Here is an 18,510-nt window from a genome sequence, read left to right on the forward strand (position 1 = left end):
CCTATTACTGCAGCCCAAGGCAGAGGTTAAAGCATCTACTCAGTTCACTTGGGAGCTTCTAGTTCAAGGAACACTATGACAAATACCATTTCAAATAAGTAACGTTTTTTAAAGAAAGAGAATAATCAAGTGAAAATGTCCATTCTGTGATTCTTAGTCTCTTAAATCAGGTTTGCCAAAAGGAGGGTCCCTGCTCCCCAACATCTGCCACTATGAATAAGTGGTGCATTTATAAACTGCCTGCTGCTATGGTCTGCTCTGGACTGGAGACCAGCGACCCATCCCCAGGCCTGGCTAGATTTCATCCAGTCCTGGTACCAGGATGCACATACTCTGTTTCAGTGGCTTGAAGAACTCTCTACATGAACCAGTTAGAGCAGCCAAAGAGCTGTGAACAACAGCTGGACATCTTACTAGTTTAAAATTTTGAATTTAGAGCAAAGATGGCACCAACGTGGCCGGGTGCGGTGGCTCACGCCTGTTAATCCCAGCACTTTGAGAGGCTGAGGCAGGTGGATCACGAGATCAGGAGATCAAGACCATCCCGGCTAACACGGTGAAAGCCCTTCTCTACTAAAAACACAAAAAATTTGCCTGGCGTGGTGGTAGCGCCTATAGTCCCAGCTACTCAGGAGGCTGAGGCAGGAGAATGGCATGAACCCGGGAGGAGGAGCTTGCAGTGAGCTGAGATCGCGCCACCGTACTCCAGCCTGGGCGACAGAGCCAGACTCCGTCCCAAAAAAAAAAAAAAAAAAAAAGATGGCACCAACGTGAGTGGCAGCTGCAGATAGCACCAAGAACCCTTTTCTCTGAGTGGTGAGTGACAGTGGCACTAAGCAGGTAGAAGCCAATCAGCCTCAAGAATGTGGTGACGCGGTTTATAAGACAGTGGGGGTGAAGGAAGGTGAAAGGGTGGGGGGCAGGGTTGGGCCAGGTTGTGGACAAAGGTCAGCAGACTAAGAGAGGCAAACAGCGCCAGATGAGACTCCCAGGAACCTTCCAAAAAGCCCGGGAGCCAGAAAAGTCCCCAGGCCCCACTTCCTGCTCCAGCTGCCAAGAGAGGGAAGCAGCTCTCAAGTTCAATGAGGGCAGAAATCGGGCTCATGTCCCAAGGCAGCTGTAAGCTCAGGCGCCCAAGGCTTCAGATAGGTGTCCCACGTGGGCCTGAGGGTGAAAAAGCTCATTCTTCAAAAGAAGTCTGATTTTTGGATGAAATTTCCCACTTTTCAAGACACTACATGGACGAGACAAAACCCATCTGTGGGAATGCAGCAGGGAGACCACGTGGGATACACAAGACTTGGGTGGAAGAGGGAGCCCTCAGGGGCGGGCATCACCTCGGGCACAGAACAGGGACCCCCCACACAGGTTGGGAAGATGGAACTGCCTCCTCCCTCCGTGCAATCGGGCCGGCGGGGGGGCCCTACCTTCAGCTCCAGATCAGTGTAAATCTGCGGCCTCAGCAGGCTGAGCAGGTAGGACGCGCGGGAGAACTTAAACCCTGAAACCGAATCCGATGAAGACTGTCACCAGGGGTCACCAGGGATGAGGACCGTCACCAGGGGTCAGCAGGGATGGAGACCGTCACCAGGGGTCAGCAGGGATGGAGACCGTCACCCGGGGTCAGCAGGGATGGAGACCGTCACCCGGGGTCAGCAGGGATGGAGACCGTCACCCGGGGTCAGCAGGGATGGAGACTGTCACCCTGAGTCACTGCCCTCCACTCCCCCATGCCACATCAGAGCTCACCTGGGATGATCTCCTCAGTGACAGCTGCACCCCCGATCACATGGCGCCTCTCGAAGACGGCGGTGTTCACCCCCAGTCTCTGCAGGTACGCTGCCTGGGAAGTGGGGCAGCACACAGGGCCCTCCCTTTATCCCTCTGAAATGTCAGGGCTCCCTCGGGCTGACCCGCAGACTAAGGTCCTCACTATAGGCCAGTATGGGCCACACCCCATGGCCTCCCTGCCCCGCTCATGCTGTTCCTGCCTCTGGGAATGCCCTTCCCTGTGCTTCCCTTTCCACCCTCGCCTTTTCTAGATGTCCTCTAAGATCCGACAGGCCTGCTCCCGCCCCTCCACTTCCCAGCTGAAAGTGGTCTTCCCTCCTTAGAGGCCTGGTGCCTCGGGGACTCACGCTGCTTCCTGCCACCCTGCCCTGGGATGTCGCTCTCCTCCAGGCAGGGAGCCAGCCTCATTTCTCCTACAAGCGCAGCACAGTGAGGTGGAACTTGTGAATGCTGACCCTTCCACCCAGGTTCAGTCCCTCGTTCTCTCTCTGCTGCTGCAGCCTCAGTACCTGATCCGTCTGGCCTCAGTTTGTTCACATGCAAAAGTGGGGCTGATGAAAGTAGTCCCGGCTTTACCCACTTCATAAGGCTGCTGTGAAGATTAACTGAGCTGGTTCCTAGACAGGGTTTAAGTGGTCCCTGGCACAGAGAATGTACTCAGTAAATGAAGCGGTTCATAGCAGAGCTTTATTTTGGGAGAACAAATGATGCAAGGATTTCTATTAATTTTTTTCTAGCACTTAGTGGAAAAATCAATAAATATTTGTTGAACCAAACTGGTCATGAATCTACCGATCTAAAATGCTGGCCCTGTGACCACAGGAATGGTGCCATGCAAAAGTCGGACTTTTCAAAAAGCTCACTTGGCAGCTATTATGTGCCAGAAGCAGTGAGTACATTGTCTTGTTTAATTTTTCCCACCAGCCAAGAGGTAGGTACTATGATTCTCCCATTTTACAGATGAGAAGACTGAGGCCCAATGAGGTTAACAGCTTGCCTCAGGCTCACAGAGCTGATGAGTAGAGGTGTTGGGAATTGAAACCAGACAGCGTGAAACCAGCATCTATCCTCCTAACATAACCTCCTATCATAACCTACTGAGAAAGAAACAGCAGCTGTCACTCAGTGGCTGAGGCCTGGCACGCAAGGTGAGCTGCGTCATTCTCCTATTACACAGGAACGATCTCACAGATTGACAACCTCAAATAAGGTTTCTATGAGACTATGATAAAATGAGGCAAGCACAAACAAAAGCAATGTCTCTGTGCCATCCAGAAAATACCGAACACCCCTCTTGGCTGAAATGAGTGACTGCTACTTCTTTATCAATTACTGCTCTCTGCACACTCGTCTCTCCTCCCTACAGATCAGATTTCTTGAGCTGCCCAGTTGCAGGGCTGTCCCTCCTTCCTGACAGTATCTAATCTGTGGCAACCCCTATTTTCGTAGGCCTTCCCTCAAATCACCAAAGCTCAAATCCTGTGCTAGGTTCTTTCTAACACCTTCCTACTGAGGCAACCCGAGGTTCCCCTGATGTGAGTTCCCTCGCTGCAAAGAGCAAGAAACCAAACTAGACTAACTACAAGTGTGTTCCTGGTGGGCTTTGGGTGAAGGGCTGTGGATGCCAGCCTTCCTTGGCCTGGAAACTTCCAGTAATAACAGCCACCATTTGGGCAAGGCTGCATGTGCCAGGTCCTAGCAGCAAATGATCTATTACCTTCACAGCAGCTCTGTGAGGGCAGGTGCCATTGTTCCATTTTACCGTGACTCGGAGAGGCTAAGTGACACCTTAACCTTCACAAAGTGGCAGAGCTGGGAGATGAATCTTTGTTTATATTAATATAAAATCAGGCCGGGCGTGGTGGTTCACGCCTGTAATCTCAGCACTTTCAGAGGCTGAGGCAGGCGGGTCACCTGAGATCAGGAGTTCGAGATCAGCCTGGCCAACATGGCGAAACCCCGTCTCTACTAAAAATACAAAAGTTAGCCAGGCATGATGGCGGCTGCCTGCAATCCCAGCTACTCAGGAGATTGAGGCAGGAGAATTGCTTGAACCCGGGAAGTAGAGGTTGCAGCGAGCCGAGATCATGCCATTGCACTCCAGCCTGGGTGACAAGAGCAAAACTCCGTCTCAAAAAAAATTAAAATAAAATAAAATAAAATAAATGTTTTAAATTACTGATCCATTGAGTTACAAAATGCCGCACGTAAAATGTTCAAGTAAAACTTAGACATCAGGCAAAGTATTAAGGTTTAACATCAGTCCGTTAGCACAGCCACAGTTTCCCCCTATATTGATGTTCTAGAGCTGCTGCTGCTTCAAGAAGATGTTCCACATTTGTTTTGTGGCCTTGAATGCCTTCTGTGGCCTCCTGGAGGTATCTGGACTCAGGTTACAGAAGCATAAGCTAAGGATAGCTCTGGGATATCCAGCTCAGTTTGGGATCTTGAAGTCAGTTGTGTTGGGGACAGGGCACAGGCCCTTCTGCTAGACTGAGCTCCTCAATGTCTCCAGGGCACACTTTGGCCACATAGCAGCTATGTACTCCAAGGTGGTACCTGGCCTGGACCTGGCTGGGAACACAGGGCTCTAGACACAAGGGCTGCCTATGATCTGGAGTCAAGGGCCCCCACCCCGCCCCAGGTGCCCAATCCCCTGGTTCCCACCTGCTCTCATGCTGTGTTGGTTACATGCTTCCCCACCTTGTCAGCTTGTTTCTGGAAGCTCCCTGACTCCCTCACAGGCCATGGGGAAACCACCTTTCCCCATTAGGGGAAGGGGAGGAAAGGAGCCTGTGATGTCCACAGCTGGCTGCAGATGAGCATTCGACCCAGCCCCCAGTCAGCACTGGAGAGCAGAGAGCATCGACTAGGCTGCCTTTTCCTTCTCTCTCAAGGCCCTTATCCCACCTGCTTCTTCACACTCCTTCCCAGGCTGCTGAGAGCCACACGCCCAGGGCCAGTGAAGTGGGATCAAGTGGGGAGGTACTCACAGCCACCAGTCCGTTGTGTCCTGCAACAAAACGGGACAGGGAAGGAAAACATCACTGGTCAGCGGGCGGGCAGACAGACAGTCCTTGAGGAATGTGCTCCCCGCTGCCCGTCCCCATGCCATGAAGATCCTTGGTGACCCTCCCCTCCCCTTCCCGCACTCAGATGTTGGAACAGCATCTAGTTCAACTCCATGAAACACCAGATCTTCAAGGAGTCAGAAAACCCTGGTTCTTGCCTTGGCTGGAAAAGTCCTGCTCCCCTGGCTTGGTCAGGGGCTCTGCTGGAGTGAGGGGCTCATGAGAGCATCGCCAGGGCTTCCATTGCTTGGGAGGCGCAAGTGATGGTGTCTGAGGGAGCAGCACGGTTGAGTTGGCAAGCAGGAGAAGCAATGGGTGGCTGGCATGCTGCTGCGCCAACGTCCCGTCTCGCATGGCAGCATCAGCATCCAGGGGAGTGCTGGTCATGTAGGTAGTTGCTATCAAGCGCGGCTTGTTTTGTCCACGTGTGGTTCACAATCGGCACAGTGGTGCCCTAGAAGGCTTTATTCACATGGGTTTTTTTTTTTTTTGCCAATCCCCAGTGTTCCAAAAATAAAACATGAACAGTTCAACATGAAGTAAACATGCACAGCTTCAACATGTGCTGGAGTGACTAGCTGTGCTTCAGGGTGCCTTGAGCTGAGAGGCCTGAATTTGGCTTTGGCATCTCACGTTCCACACCAAGCCCCTGGGTAGCAAGTGCCTCTCCAGCTCTGATAAGCTCAGAATCACCTGGAAGGTTGTATAAATGTCGACTCCCACAGACCCCCTTCCCAGGAGTCTGTTCAGCAGGTGTTTCACAGAACCAAAAGTTTCATGAGCTAAAATTAACTCTTACCATATGAGAAGCATGTGAGAAGCTAGTTGGTTACAGTTCATCTTAAAAAGTGCTGGTTGACATACTCTTTATTTGTATGGGCTTTTGAAAATGTTCATAAGAAAGTTTAAACAATCCGCCAGTGGGACTCATGAACAGATGGAATCTGTCTCTCAAAGACATGCAGCAAACTAAAGGCAGACAGTCCTGGGCTCAGCCCAGCCTCTGCTATTTGCCAGGGCATGACCTCAGAGAGTCATCAGCTGCCCTGAGCCTTGAGTTTCTTCACATGGGGAACAGAGGGTGCCAGGGACCCTGCAGTGTGGCAAGGATGAGATAAATGGGAGCTATTTGTCTTTTAATTGGTGCTGATGATCGATCTTGGAAAACTCATAGTCTTCCAGGCAACTGGGTCCAGTTCAATCATGGCAGACCTCAAATGAGTAAGGTCAAGGATCCAAAGCACAAGACCCCCTCCCAGTGACCACCCTCAAGTCCTGGCTGAGCCCTCCTTGGCTTCTGGTGACACCTCTGTTCCCTTGAAGAGGACTTCAGCTGCGGGCTCTGCTAATCCCCAGACCTGCCTCAGGGGCCCCATAGCAGGCGCCTGGGCCCTTGAGGAGCTGCTCTGGGCGTGGGCTCTGCAGCTGCCTGCATCAGGCAGTGTTGGTTGGGTGGATGTGCTGACCTCTGGGAGACACCTCCCGCCCTCAGAATGCTCGTCACCAGGTATGGGGCCAGGAATCTCCATTTTAACAAGCCCCCTCAGTCACTCTCAGGCACATTTAGTCAAATGACTAAATGAGATTCATCTTCAAGGTGGCGGCCAGGTGCCAGTGTGCCTTCAGGGACTCAGAGGTAACCCTTGTCTCAGAAGATGCCGTTCTGTTCCTCACTGAGGCCCAAGATGCCTTTAAACCAGGCTTTATGGTATGTTTAGCAACTAAAGAAATCATGTCAAGGAAAAGCTCACACACTGAGACTCACTCGCACTTGTAGGCAAGTCACCAAGGCAGCTGGTGACCTAAAGTCAACCTTCCCCATTAGGAGACAGCAGGGTGAGCTGTGGCTGAGCACGGAAGGAGGCAGGGGGCTTCTCTGAGGCTAAGTGAGGTGCTGGAGATGGCTCCCACCAGCCCGGGGAGTTTGTGAGCCGGCTGTCAAACAGCCATTGATATAAACTAAATTATATAAGCTTACAATTAAATAAATTAAAAACAAAGGTAATAAATACTCAAAACACACTACCTCCTATTTGTTTTACTACATTTGACTGTTGCCCATGCCCTGGCAGTCACTGGCCTCTATGTACATATCTGCATGGTGGACACACTATACAATGATGTGCTACTGGGTATCTCTCCTAAATCACATTGAGCAACCTCATCTTGGTAACAGAAAAGGCTATGGTGGGAGTATTTACACCACTGTCATCAGCAAATATTACACAGAAGGGCTGAATTTATTTTTTGTGGTCAGGCTTAAGAAAGTGATGGGAAAATGCTAATAATGCAGATTAAACCTAACAGTGTTAGCTGTTATAGCATGAATAAATAGCACAAAAATTGAAGGAAATATTCTAGTATTAGAACAATATTATCTTATTTGAGTAACATCATTCCTGTCATTTAAAGAAGGAGGCCGGGCGCAGTGGCTCACACCTGTAATCCCAGCCCTTTGGGAGGCTGAGGCAGGTGGATCACAAGGCCAGGAGTTTGAGATCAGCCTCGCCAACATGGTGAAACCCCGTCTCTACTAAAAATACAAAAATTAGCCGGGCGTGGTGGTGGGCGCCTGTAGTCCCAGCTACTCGGGAGGCTGAGGCAAGAGAATCGCTTGAACCCAGGAGGCGGAGGTTGCAGTGAGCCGAGATTGCGCCGCTGCACTCCAGCCTGGGCAACAGAGCAAGACTCCATCTCAATAAATGAATAAATAAATAAAATAAAAATAAATTTTAAAAAATAAAGGAGTAAGGTTGGGACATAAATCTTTGTTGTTTCATTTGTTTCACGATCATCCTACTCTTTACAGAAAATATGGAGCACCGTTCTCTTTGGAGCTACCCTCATTTGTCATTTGCAACTATAGGTTGGCTACTGAGTTTGGCAAAAATCAAAGAAAGCCTTTGGTAAGAATCACTCGGGTAGACTGCATTTAAATTGAGAGTATTGTATCTTTATTTGTAAAATTGTGTGCAGTGTATCTTTTATTTCAATATTTAAAATAAGCATGTGTATATGTGTATATATATGTACGTAACACATATACATATATATACACATATATGTGTGTATATATACATATATATACATGTACACACACACATACATCACACATTTTTCCCTGGAGAGGTGAGTGTTGAGTATCTACCAGCTCGCAACTGCTCTAGTACATATGAAAATGAAGGCATGCCCTCAAAGCTGCATGTTGAGTGCCGTCTGCTTTCGGTCCCGTCATTATCTCTGTATAGACCCAGTTGGCAATCATGCATTTGGGGCCCTCTGCAAGTGTGAAAGGAAGGCACTAAGGAAAGACCACCTGGTCCTGGGCCTGCCTCTTCCCCTAGCACCCAGTAGACTGTGATACTCTGAGCCCAGGGGTTGGCAAAGTGTGGCAGATCACTGCAGATCCCCAAATGTCCCAGAGCTGCAAGGCAATGGGGTCCATCTCCCTCTGCAGACACGCAGTAGGAACTCTGGGACTCAGTTCTGTTTTATCCTAACTGGCCTTTATGAAATGACTGCAGTTTCTTGTGACGAGGGGTGGCCTCAGTGGTAAGGTAGTGGTGACCAGAACTCAGGGCACTGAGGGGGCGGGGTGCTGGATTTCACTTGTCTGTTGGCCCAGGGCTCTTTCCAACCCTTACAAACCATAGGCTGAGAATGTGGTGGAAACTAGGTCACTTTGCAAGAGATATAGGGAAACCCCTGAGCTCACCTAGTCTTCCTGTCATTCTCCATGGGAAGATCCAAGCCCAGAGAAGGCAAGCATTTGCCCCAGGCCACACAGCAGAGCCAGCACCGGAATCCCAGGTGCCTGCCTGCCAGATGGAAGGGCTTTCCATTGCAGCCCCTGCTAGCGTATAAACTTCTGGCTGGGTTATGCCAGAGGAGAGAGCAGTGGGGCTTGGCTCCCCCTCCCCCTCCCCACCAAGCTCTGAGCAGGGCTGTCTTCCCGCCCCTCAGCTCTGGCCCGGCCTGCTTTACCACTTTACCTGCTCCTATCACCACCGCATCATACTCAGGCTTCAGACCTCCCCTGGCTTCCGTGTTATCTCGTCTCCACGCCGGGAAGGGAGAGGCGGCCACAGCCTTGCAGAGACCTCGGCCACTTGCAGCCATTTCTGCCCCAGGCTGGGCCTTGCTAGGCAGGGAGTTTGCTAGCGATTGGCTTTTGTGCTGCCCTAGGCACGGGGTGGAGCAGGGAGGAAGCAGGAAGAGGAGGAGCTGCAGTCCCCCTCCAGGCCCCCTCCACCATGCATTCTTGGCCACAGGCCAGCCTCCTGCTGCCCTGGGGCTGTGCTGGGCCGTCGGGAGTGTTGCCTATTAACCAGGCGGTGTCACCTCCAGGATGCAGGGGATAATGGCAAAACTGACAATCCACTGGGGTTCCTATGTCAGGCTGGCATTGTGCTGAACCCTGTAGGCAAAACTCCCCATTTTACAGATGAGGGCGCTGAGGCTGCGGGGTTAGGGAATGAGTGGTGGAGGCAGAGTGGAGCTCGAAAGGGCCCTCTCCTCCCCTGTGCATCTACCTTCTCAGTCAGAACTGAAACGCCTGGGATGGCAAGTGCTCGTGTCAGACTCTGCTCCAACTCCATGCTGAGTCTGCCAGTGCAGAGTGGTGATGCCTCTACGCCCACAGGAGGCGCCCAGGGCGGCCATCTAGCGTCACCACGACCAGGGCCTTCAGACACCGCAGAGGCAGCTGTGTCTGTCGCTGAGGAGCACTGGAGTCCTCTCCTAAATGCTCAAACACAAACCCACAACGAGGGCTTAGGGGCAAGTTCGCTGTCTGTAATTCTCTGGTGTTTTAGTTTTGAAGGCCTGGCCAGTTCTCCTCTTTTGGCACCTTGCCCATTTTCCAAGAATCCCCAAGGATTCGAGGTCACATCTGTAAATACCTCCAGCTAAAGTTCTTTCTGACCCTCCCTTAGGCCTGCCTTGAATTAGGAGCCCCTTTGTTCTCTGCCCATTACTTAGCAGAGTGTTCCCCTAGGAGGAAAAAACCCCTTGGAGCGGAGAGTTCCTGCACTGCTCTGATATCGCAGTGTGACGGAAACCTGCTATTGGTAACGAATCTCAGAACTGGGAGAGTATGTGGAGATGATCCTAAGAGGGGGTTCCGAGGACCCCTCCACACACCATGGACAGTTACCCCGCATGTGAGCATCTCTGCTAAGATCTGATTCAGGATGTTCACTCCTGTGTTATTTATTATATAGAAAGATCAAGGGGACTGGTTAAACTAGACATATCACATCCAGCCGCTGCTAAAAACTAAAGGGAAATAGTAGGTGACAAAAGCAGGGGTCCTGAACAGTGGTGGGCTCAGGGGATTGGAGTTTTTTCCTTTATGTTTTTCTGTATTTTCCACAATCCACGCTTTTCATTGCCATTCCATCAGATGATGTTAAGGAGGAACACAGATCCAGTCACCTGAGGGGATACTTCCTCACTGCCACCTTCTCAGGGTTTAGACCAACATGTGGGTTCTAGTTCCCCCAGCCCCAAAGCTGTTCCCTGCAAGGAAGAGATCAGTCTTTGAGCAAATTTTGGCTCAAGACTAAAGACACAGAAGGCGAGGCTCCTGCATGCACAGCACACGGCCATCTGATCCTGTGCTGCAGTGGACGCTGACTTTCGCCACGCCGTCCTCTCTGGCCCAGCACCGGCCTCCTGGCCTCAGAGGAGCAGACACTCCCAGTCCCAGGGCTCTCAGGGTCTCTTGTCCCTGGGTCCATTCTGGGACAGGAACTTCTCGGTTGGAAGAGAGGGGCTGTACCCCTCGGGTGGTGGTTCTCAATCCAGGGCGCACCACAGAAGCTTTGAAAGACATCAAAGGCTGGGCTCCACGGCCGCCAAGGGAATCCAAATCTCTGGGCCAGGGCCAGGGGCTTGAGAACCCCAGCCCTAGGGCAGACGCCAGCCAAGCATGAAGGGGCTGGGACTTAGCAAGGGCTTATCAGCACTGACAGAAGGGTCTAGAAGCACTAGCATGTTGGGCTTCAGTGATAACAATGACCAACATTTATTGAGCACCTACCACACTGGGTAATCCTCACACCACCCTGGGACGGAGGTGCCATCGCTTTAAACGTGGGGAATAGAAGAAACTTGCCAGGAGGTGCAGAGAGGAAGTGGCAGCGCTGGAATTCAAACCCAGGCAAAGGAGCACCTTTTACCTGGGGTAGGAGAGAGCTTGCTGGGTGGGCTTCCTCCACGCAGGGAACAGCAGAGATGGGGCTTCCTCCCCATCTCCCAGGATAAAGGCAGAGGCAGCTCTGGAAGAGGAGCTGTTGCCACCGTTGTTTTACAAACAGGACCCCTGGGCTTCCCTCTTCCTCCAGAGAGAAGGATCTGGGGCCTTGCTCAGTACCTGACATGGAGGGTGGTCTAGGTGGGGTTTTAGAAGCCCTGGGGCCACCCTGGGCACTCTGCCCTATCCTCAGGATGGCCACTGCAGACAGGAGGCTCTCGTCATGGGGAACAGTGGCAAGCAAGGGTGGCTGGAGGACAGGATGCAAAGGCAGACTGCGGCCACCTTGGCCTAGAGCAGGGGGATACGGGAGGCCTCCCAGAGGCGCCGGGCCAGCTGGCCGGCCTGCTGCACCAGCAGGTCAGTGGGGATGACAGACAGGTGCAGGGCCAGCAGCTCGTAGCACCTGACAGCCTCGGTTGGGCGGTTCTTGCTGTAGTAGCGCAGGAGCTTCCTGGGGAGGAAGGGGAGGATGGGATTCAGGAGTGAGGCTGTGGCACTCCTCCAGCGCCAGAGGCCTCTCTGGGCCCTCGCAAGCAAATGCCCATGCCCTCGGTCATCTCACTAGGCCCCTGCATGTGGGCCTTGACAACCGCTCCGGTTCCTCACTGACCTAACAGTGGCATCCTGGCTACGAGGTAGCAGTGGGGATGTTCTGGGCCGGGCACAGACGTTCCCCGTGCTGCCAAGACCATGCCAGCAGGAAGGTGGTAGGAACACAGATGTACCCTCCACACCCGTCCTCCCTCGCTGCACACAGGGCCAGCCGGGAAGGTGTTCCCAGCGTGGATTTCTGGGTCTGAGGTAGGGCACTGCTGAAGCAGAAGCTGCTCCCGGCAGAGGCGAGCACTTATCACCCAAATGGGGGCATCTGTCCCCAGTGGCTCCCAACGCAGCGTCACCTGTAGTAGTCTCCTCCCAGCATGCCGATAGGCACTGAGTCGTCGGAGAGGACGGGCACCTCGATCATCTGGAGTTTGTACCCCTGAGGAGGGAGGACAGGGAGGCAGTGGGTGTGGGGGTAGTGCAAGGGCCTGAGTCAGACGCACCGGGCTTGCGGCCTGGCTTGGCTCTGTCATGTGCGCTGGGTGCTTGGGAAAATGCCTGGACCTTGTTTTTTCATCTTTGAAGTCAGAATGACAACAGTCACCTTATGAACATTAGAGAAAAAGTATACAAAGCTTCAAGGGCCGGCAGGGTAGCTCTCATTACCGTCAATACCTGGACCTGTACAGGCCACAAACACACGCTCAGGAGGGCACCCTGCAGGGCTGTCATACAGGTCTTGAAGAGCAGAGCATTCACAAAAGGCCCAAGCCTCTGCTCTGAAAGAATTGGGAATTCCCAGGGTGGGATAAGGTGGGGAAGGGAATTAAGATCTGCTGGACGTGCCGTGTGTGCCAGGCATGAACATGGCACTTAGCTGATGCTTGCCTGGGCACCGTGGCCTGCCCTGCAGGGGGAGTGGACTCCCTAGTGTGCAGGGCTGCCCCCACGGCACCGGCTGGGCTGTGTGGCTGGCATTCAAACCTGGCCTCTCCAGCCCACAGCTCTGCCTCACTTTATCACCCCACGGGGCCACCCAAGCACACAGACTCCTGTCCCTCCCTAGAAGTGAAGGTAAAGGTCACAGGAATTTTCTAGCACTTCTGTTGTACACACGTCCTGGGCACTTCTGAGGGCACGGAGGAAAGCTGGGAGCCTGCAGGCCGGGGGAGCAGAGCTTGGGCTCCGGCTTCCTCACTTACAGCCTCGGTGGCCCTGGCCATGGCGTCTGATCTCCGGATCATTGTGTCTCCATCCGTACAACGGGGTCAGGAATCCCTGCCCCAGCCACTTTACAGGGCTGTGAGGGGGTAACTGAGAGAACAGTGGTGGAGAGCCCCAGTAACCGCCCTGCCCTATGGAAAGGGATGGCTGTCACCCTCAGTGAACAAAGAGTGCAGGGTGGGGGCAGGGGAAGGCACAGGAGTGCAGGGACCCAGAGACCAAGGGCTGCGAGGGAGGAGGAACACTCCTGAGAGCTGGAACAACCACTCCTGAGAGCTGGAACAACCACTTATGGTGACAAGCGAGATGCAAATAAAAGAGAAACAGGAGGAAAGCGAAGAAAGGGAAAAGACAGAGAGGAGGGAGAGACAGGAGGAGAGGAGTCCCAGCCACTGCACCCCTCACAGCCCTGTGCAGTGGCTGGGGCAGGGATCCCTGACCCCGTTGTATGGATGGAGACACAATGATAGTAAGCTCCCCCCACTGGACCCTACTCTGCAGTAACAGTGAGGCCCAGAAGAAGCAGTGCAGGGCCTGGAGGCCAGGGCCCCGAGCCACACCACCAGTGTCTCCTCAGGCAGCCTGGCTCACTGCTTCAAGCAGGGGCCTATGCTCTTGAGTTCAGGGGCCTATGCCACAGGGATGACCATGTGCCACACTTGGCATGTGACGCTGGCGACATGGAAGCACTAGCGACAAAGTGTGTGGTCTGAGTCGCATTTCTCACAGTGGGGCATGTGCCTTTCTGCTCACATGTGTGCCTGGATGCCACGTGGACAATGGCAAGAGTTTGCCAGACAGCTGGGCAGAGGGATCACAAAGCAGTTAAACGCCCATGTGAAAATGTGACCTCTGAACTCTGGCTCCCAACCTGCTGGGCTTACCAGCAACAAGAAGAGAAGATGAGACAGACAGACAACAATTCAGAAGAAAGGAATCCAAGAGTTACAGAGCGGGAAGTGTGTGTGGCCCGTCCTGGCCCAGGGACTCAGCCTCACCTACCATGTCATTCTCGAACCACAGGAAGTAGGAGCAGTAGAAATCCCCCTCCTGGAACAGCAGCGTGGTGTAGCCCTTCTGCAGGTATCTGCGCGCCAGCTGGATCAGAGACCAGACCTGGGGAAAAGACAGCAAGCATCACCACTCTCCCAGCCTTGGTCTGCCTGGGCAGCTCTCACCTCCGAAGGAAGGAAAGGGCACAGCCGAGAAGCTCCGTGAGTGCCAGGGGCCTCTCCTAGTACCCGGGCACTGCCTTGGCTCAGAGCAGGAGGCTCAACAATAAATCATTATTGGATGGATGGACTACCCTCCAGTTAGCGTGGGGGCAAAATATATGTAAAAAAGCTTTGTGTAACTTTACTATACACATATGCCATAAATTAGTGAACTGGGCTAGTGTGGTGGCTTACGCCTGTAATCCTAGCACTTTGGGAGGCTGAGGTAGGTGGATTGCTTGAGCTCAGGAGTTCGAGACCATCCTGGGCAACATAGCAAAACCCTGTCTCTACAAAATATACAAAATAATTAGCCGGGTGTGGTAGCACACACCTGTAGTCCCAGCTATTTGGGGGGCTGAGATGAGAGGATCGCTTGAGCCCAGGAGGTCGAGGCTGCAGTGAGCTGTGCTTGTGCCGCTGCACTCTAGCCTGGGTGACAAAGTGAGACCCTGTCTCAAAAAATAATAATATTAAAAAAAAAATAAATTAGTGAAATGATCATTCAGGCCAGAGAATAGCCAGGGACATCATTAATGAACACAGGAGAACAAGGTGTGGTCTCCTGAATCCCCTCCTCTGCCTGGGGTCGCCCACTCACCTAGTGCCCTTCAGGCTGGGAACTGATGGCACAGGTGAGTGACCCTGTAGGATGTGCTGAGCCAGGGGGGAAGTCCAAATCAGAGTTCACCAAGGGGTCAGATGGAAACACAGGGCCTGAGAAACCACGTGCCTTAGCTCCCCTGGGAATGTCCTCCTGCCTGACGCAGGGACTGTCACCAGTGCTGCCGGTGAAGTGCCCCAGGGAAGGCAGCAGGGACAGTGGGCTCTCTGCCACCTCTCAGGGCTGGGAAGAGACTCGAGGAGCCCTCTCCTCTACCCTTAACGGGAGGGACAGGCGATCTGCTCCAAACTGCATCGCCGTGTGATTACTCATTAAATCTGCCATGGATTGACTGTACTTTTCAGGAAAGTAATTTGACAACATCCATCAATAATCTTAAAAACATTCCTCCCATCTGACTTAATAATTCCATTTCTAGGAATCCATATTGGGGACATAATCAGAGATGGGGACCCAGATGTATGCAAGGTGTATACTGCAGAATTATTTATAACAGCAAAAGCCTAGAAATAATCTGTATGTCTAAACATCAGGGAAATGGTTCAATAAATTATGTTACATTCACATGATGGACTATTATGGAGCTGCTAAAAATCATGTCTATAAAGAGTTAATGGCATGAGGGAAAGCATCTGATATAATGTGAAATGAAAACATGGTAGCAAAGTTGCACATACAGAGTGATCTCAACTACAACAAACTGCACAGAAAACCAACAGAAAGAAACGTACCAAGATAACCCCAACTGTCTCCAGAATGAGGGGCAAGGATGAAGATGGTGATGATGATGCCACCAGTAAGTACTGAATGAACTGTATCTGTATTTTGTGCTACGTGCTATGCTAAATATTTGATACGTATCCTCTCATGTACTCTTCATAACTCTGTGATGTAAATAGCACTATTATTTCCTTCTACAGATGAGGAAACTGACCCTTGGGCTAAGTACTGCCCAAAGCCACATAACTGGTGGGAGACGGGGCTGGGCTTCCAACACATGCCTCCACCACCCATCTTCCCATCTTGTTTTAAACATTAGAATACACTTTACTTGCCTCCCCCACCAAAACAAAGAAAGAAAAGAACACACACACACAGACACACACACACACACACACACACACACACACACACGTATAGTTTTTTTGGAGAGTGGCAGGGGTCCTCCCCCTATCAAAAATACAACTTTGTCATGAAAAACAGTCAGTTAAATAAGGAGAATAAAAGAATTTCCAGGGAATGCTTCCTTAACAGAAATCACCTTGTTTTAAATTCTGATGCCCAACTGATGGACCTTGCCGTTCTCTCCATTCTAGCTCATTCAACAAATACTTGTCGAGCATTTATTTATGCCGGCACTGGCCACTGCCTCCTTGGGCCTGCTGCCCAGCGCACTCTGCTAGCCCCAGGCATGTGGATCACACCAGGAAGGGCTACCCAATATTGGCTGAGGCCCACCCATCCCCGCCCTGGGTCCAAATGGTTACCTTAGTTTTGACAAAGGCAGCCAGCGGCCCCTTGCCCAACTCCGACGAGGTCTTTTGACTGCAGTTGAGGGAAGGCGCCACCATCTGCCCAGTGGTGCGGTCCACATAGATGAAGTGCACCAAGCCTGGGAAGTCTTCTAGGTAGGTGAAGGTCTGAGTTAAGGTGCTTACAAGCCAGGAGCTAGGGACGGCCTGCCTCTGTCCTGGGCTTCTAGCTGTGCCCAGTCATGGTGGCAGGAGGGCCAGGACTGCCTCTTTCCAGCAGCTTCCATTTCAGCTAAGCCCCCTGTATCCTTGCTTCCTCAGATCCCCCACTACCTCCAAGCTCCCCAGGCCTTGAAAAGCTGTAAGATCCTCAACACTTGCACATTTGACACGGGCAGTTCTGGCCCTACAGGAACATGGTATGCATCATTTTCATGAGGGATGAATTTAAGTCAGACACACGTGAGGCTGGAGTGTGAGCACAGCCACTTGGTTCATGAGTGAGCCTAGCTGACTGCCCAGCCTATGCACCTCACTGTGATCTTGCTAAACCCTTACACTTCATCATGAGAGTTTGGAAGGCTCCCATTTGGGAGGGGAAGAGACATCCATAGAAGGGCAGCAGCTGGTGGCTAAAGAGGCCCTCTGGCATCCTTTCACCTGCCCACTGAGGACCTGCCTCAGGAGACTGGGGGCTGGACATTTCAGAGATGATATGGGAAAAGCTGCTTTACATGAATTTTCATGGAAAATCAGTATTCGATAAAATTAGTGTTCCATAATAAAAGGGTCAAATAGTCTTAGGAATGGCTTCTGAAACAGGGATAAACATTTGCCGTAGGCCTTCTAGAGCTTTTACATGCCACTGTGCACTGTCATGATCTAAGAAGGACAACGGCCCTTTCAACCAAACTAGACCACAGGAACCCCCCCCCCGGTCCCCACCCCTCGTGGAATACCTACTACCATTTTGCCAGCTGGGCAACACTGACATAAAGGGTCTTTATGGCTTTTGTGAATTAACTTTGGGACAGGAGGAATTCCTGAAATTTCAGCTTGAAGTATTCCTATAGACAAGGCACATGGGCCACTATGTCCCATTATTTTCCTTCAGAGAGGTGGTGAGCAGCTGATGGGGTGGAACATATATCCCCCTTCCCTGGGGCCCATAGTCCCTCCAGGGAGCAGGTGTAGAGGCAGCAGATCCAAGAGGCTTGTTGGGCTGGCTGGGGCCCCGGCGTCAGGATATGACACCATGGTGATGTTCCTCCTGCTCTTCACCAGCAAGAAGTCCTTCCAGTCCGTCAGCTTCTCCCTGCCGAGGGAAGCTCGGGCTGCGTGAAGGAAGTACGGGCCCCAGACCCTGCCCTGGCCACCCAGGGGGCCGCACTGCACTTACCGCATGAGCCTCTGCACTTGGTCCTGCAGGTGCTGGGGCAGGTGTGGGCCTCCCCTGCTGGGGGCTGTGGTCAGAAAGTTCAGCCGGTAGATGGCGCAGAGCTGCCGCTTCAGCTTCCCACATGCCTGGAGCAGCCTGAGCACGAGAGAGGAGGGCATTACAGCAGAAGGGACCTAGGGGAGCCCCTCGCCCTGTGTGGACCACCTTGTTCCTGCACCCAGGACAGACAGACCTGGGGAGCCCTTCCCCCTTGTGGACCACCCCACTCTTGTACCCAGGACAGACCAACCTGGGGAGCCCCTCACTCCCAGGTGGACCACCCTGCTCCTGCACCCAGGACAGACAGATGGAAAGACCTAAGGGGGCAGCCACAGCTGATCAGGCAATGGGAAGGAGCTTCCCAGCTTCTCCACGCGGTGCTCCACGTATGTGGGAAGAAATCTCCTTTCTTGAAATTATTTTGCTGATAAATGAAGGGCAGTGGTGGAGGAGATGTGGCCTCCCAGGGAACAGTCCCCTGGGCACACGACCCACCCCTTGTCCTGAGGCCCACCACTCACTCCCAGGAGGATCCGGGCTCACTTTTGGAGAAAGCCTTGGCCTTAAACTCCAGCCAGGTGCTCTGGAAGGAAGACAGGGGGCAGGTTTGCATCCCGACCATATTTCCAGTGAGGTCCAGGCCAAAGTCCTTCTCAGATCAGGCTCTGAGAGGGCACAGGGCCCCCAGACAAATCTGCCCTTCTGGCCAATGCAGGCTACCCTGGCAGGCCCCACCAGCCCCCTGCAGACTTCAGTGTGCCATGTTCTAGTCACTCAGCAGCGTTTATTTAAAGGGCAGTTTCCAGGGGCTCGCTGTCTGACGGGCACAGGCACACATAGTAGCACCGTCACAGCAACCAGGCCAGCCCCTCG

General features: G+C 52.6%; 2 protein-coding genes across 40 annotated transcripts in view, besides 4 other annotated features; both read right to left on the reverse strand.

Moving 5' to 3' along the window:
* The window catches only part of PYROXD2 (pyridine nucleotide-disulphide oxidoreductase domain 2), a 31,615-nt gene extending 22,587 nt beyond the window's left edge, over nucleotides 1-9,028 (reverse strand). For 11 of the 19 annotated variants that reach the window (XR_007062009.1, XR_007062008.1, XR_007062010.1 and 8 more), the window contains exons 1-5: nucleotides 8,855-9,028; nucleotides 5,021-6,583; nucleotides 4,785-4,804; nucleotides 1,750-1,843; nucleotides 1,428-1,501 (exon numbers count right to left, since the gene is read on the reverse strand). Coding sequence is in view for 11 of the 19 variants with exons in the window: in XM_011540293.3 (XP_011538595.1) it covers nucleotides 1,428-1,501; nucleotides 1,750-1,843; nucleotides 4,785-4,804; nucleotides 5,021-5,249 (417 nt within the window). In the remaining 8 variants the exon portion in view is untranslated. The other 8 variants (NM_032709.3, XM_017016835.2, XM_047425882.1 and 5 more) reach the window with 4 other exon arrangements.
* Nucleotides 2,858-3,057: an enhancer, noted in NCBI's record as "active region_3867". NCBI's record gives its function as "activates an Ori minimal core promoter by ATAC-STARR-seq in GM12878 lymphoblastoid cells {active_cell/tissue: GM12878}" and the evidence as "EXISTENCE:reporter gene assay evidence [ECO:0000049][PMID:35858748]".
* Nucleotides 3,064-3,264: a silencer, noted in NCBI's record as "peak1064 fragment used in MPRA reporter construct". NCBI's record gives its function as "represses an SCP1 promoter by STARR-seq MPRAs in K562 erythroleukemia cells {active_cell/tissue: K562}" and the evidence as "EXISTENCE:reporter gene assay evidence [ECO:0000049][PMID:32103011]".
* The window catches only part of HPS1 (HPS1 biogenesis of lysosomal organelles complex 3 subunit 1), a 32,988-nt gene continuing 22,271 nt past the window's right edge, over nucleotides 7,794-18,510 (reverse strand). For 19 of the 21 annotated variants that reach the window (XM_047425149.1, XM_047425147.1, NM_001322483.2 and 16 more), the window contains 7 exons: nucleotides 18,159-18,220; nucleotides 17,599-17,733; nucleotides 17,449-17,514; nucleotides 16,215-16,359; nucleotides 13,891-14,004; nucleotides 12,021-12,103; nucleotides 10,044-11,572 (listed from right to left, as the gene is read on the reverse strand). In XM_047425149.1, the coding sequence (XP_047281105.1) occupies nucleotides 11,410-11,572; nucleotides 12,021-12,103; nucleotides 13,891-14,004; nucleotides 16,215-16,359; nucleotides 17,449-17,514; nucleotides 17,599-17,733; nucleotides 18,159-18,220 (768 nt within the window). In that variant the 3' untranslated portion in view covers nucleotides 10,044-11,409. Of the gene's footprint in view, nucleotides 8,142-8,577; nucleotides 11,573-12,020; nucleotides 12,104-13,890; nucleotides 14,005-16,214; nucleotides 16,360-17,448; nucleotides 17,515-17,598; nucleotides 17,734-18,158; nucleotides 18,221-18,510 lie in introns of those variants that run through there. The other 2 variants (XR_007061961.1, XR_001747098.2) reach the window with 2 other exon arrangements.
* Nucleotides 17,086-17,647: an enhancer, noted in NCBI's record as "H3K4me1 hESC enhancer chr10:100182997-100183558 (GRCh37/hg19 assembly coordinates)". NCBI's record gives its function as "activates a minimal SCP1, AML or CMV promoter by ChIP-STARR-seq in naive H9 embryonic stem cells {active_cell/tissue: H9 hESC(naive)}" and the evidence as "EXISTENCE:reporter gene assay evidence [ECO:0000049][PMID:30033119]".
* Nucleotides 17,648-18,209: an enhancer, noted in NCBI's record as "H3K4me1 hESC enhancer chr10:100183559-100184120 (GRCh37/hg19 assembly coordinates)". NCBI's record gives its function as "activates a minimal SCP1, AML or CMV promoter by ChIP-STARR-seq in naive H9 embryonic stem cells {active_cell/tissue: H9 hESC(naive)}" and the evidence as "EXISTENCE:reporter gene assay evidence [ECO:0000049][PMID:30033119]".

This window comes from Homo sapiens, chromosome 10 (genome assembly GCF_000001405.40).
Source record: "Homo sapiens chromosome 10, GRCh38.p14 Primary Assembly".
Classification (NCBI taxonomy): Eukaryota; Metazoa; Chordata; class Mammalia; order Primates; family Hominidae; genus Homo; species Homo sapiens.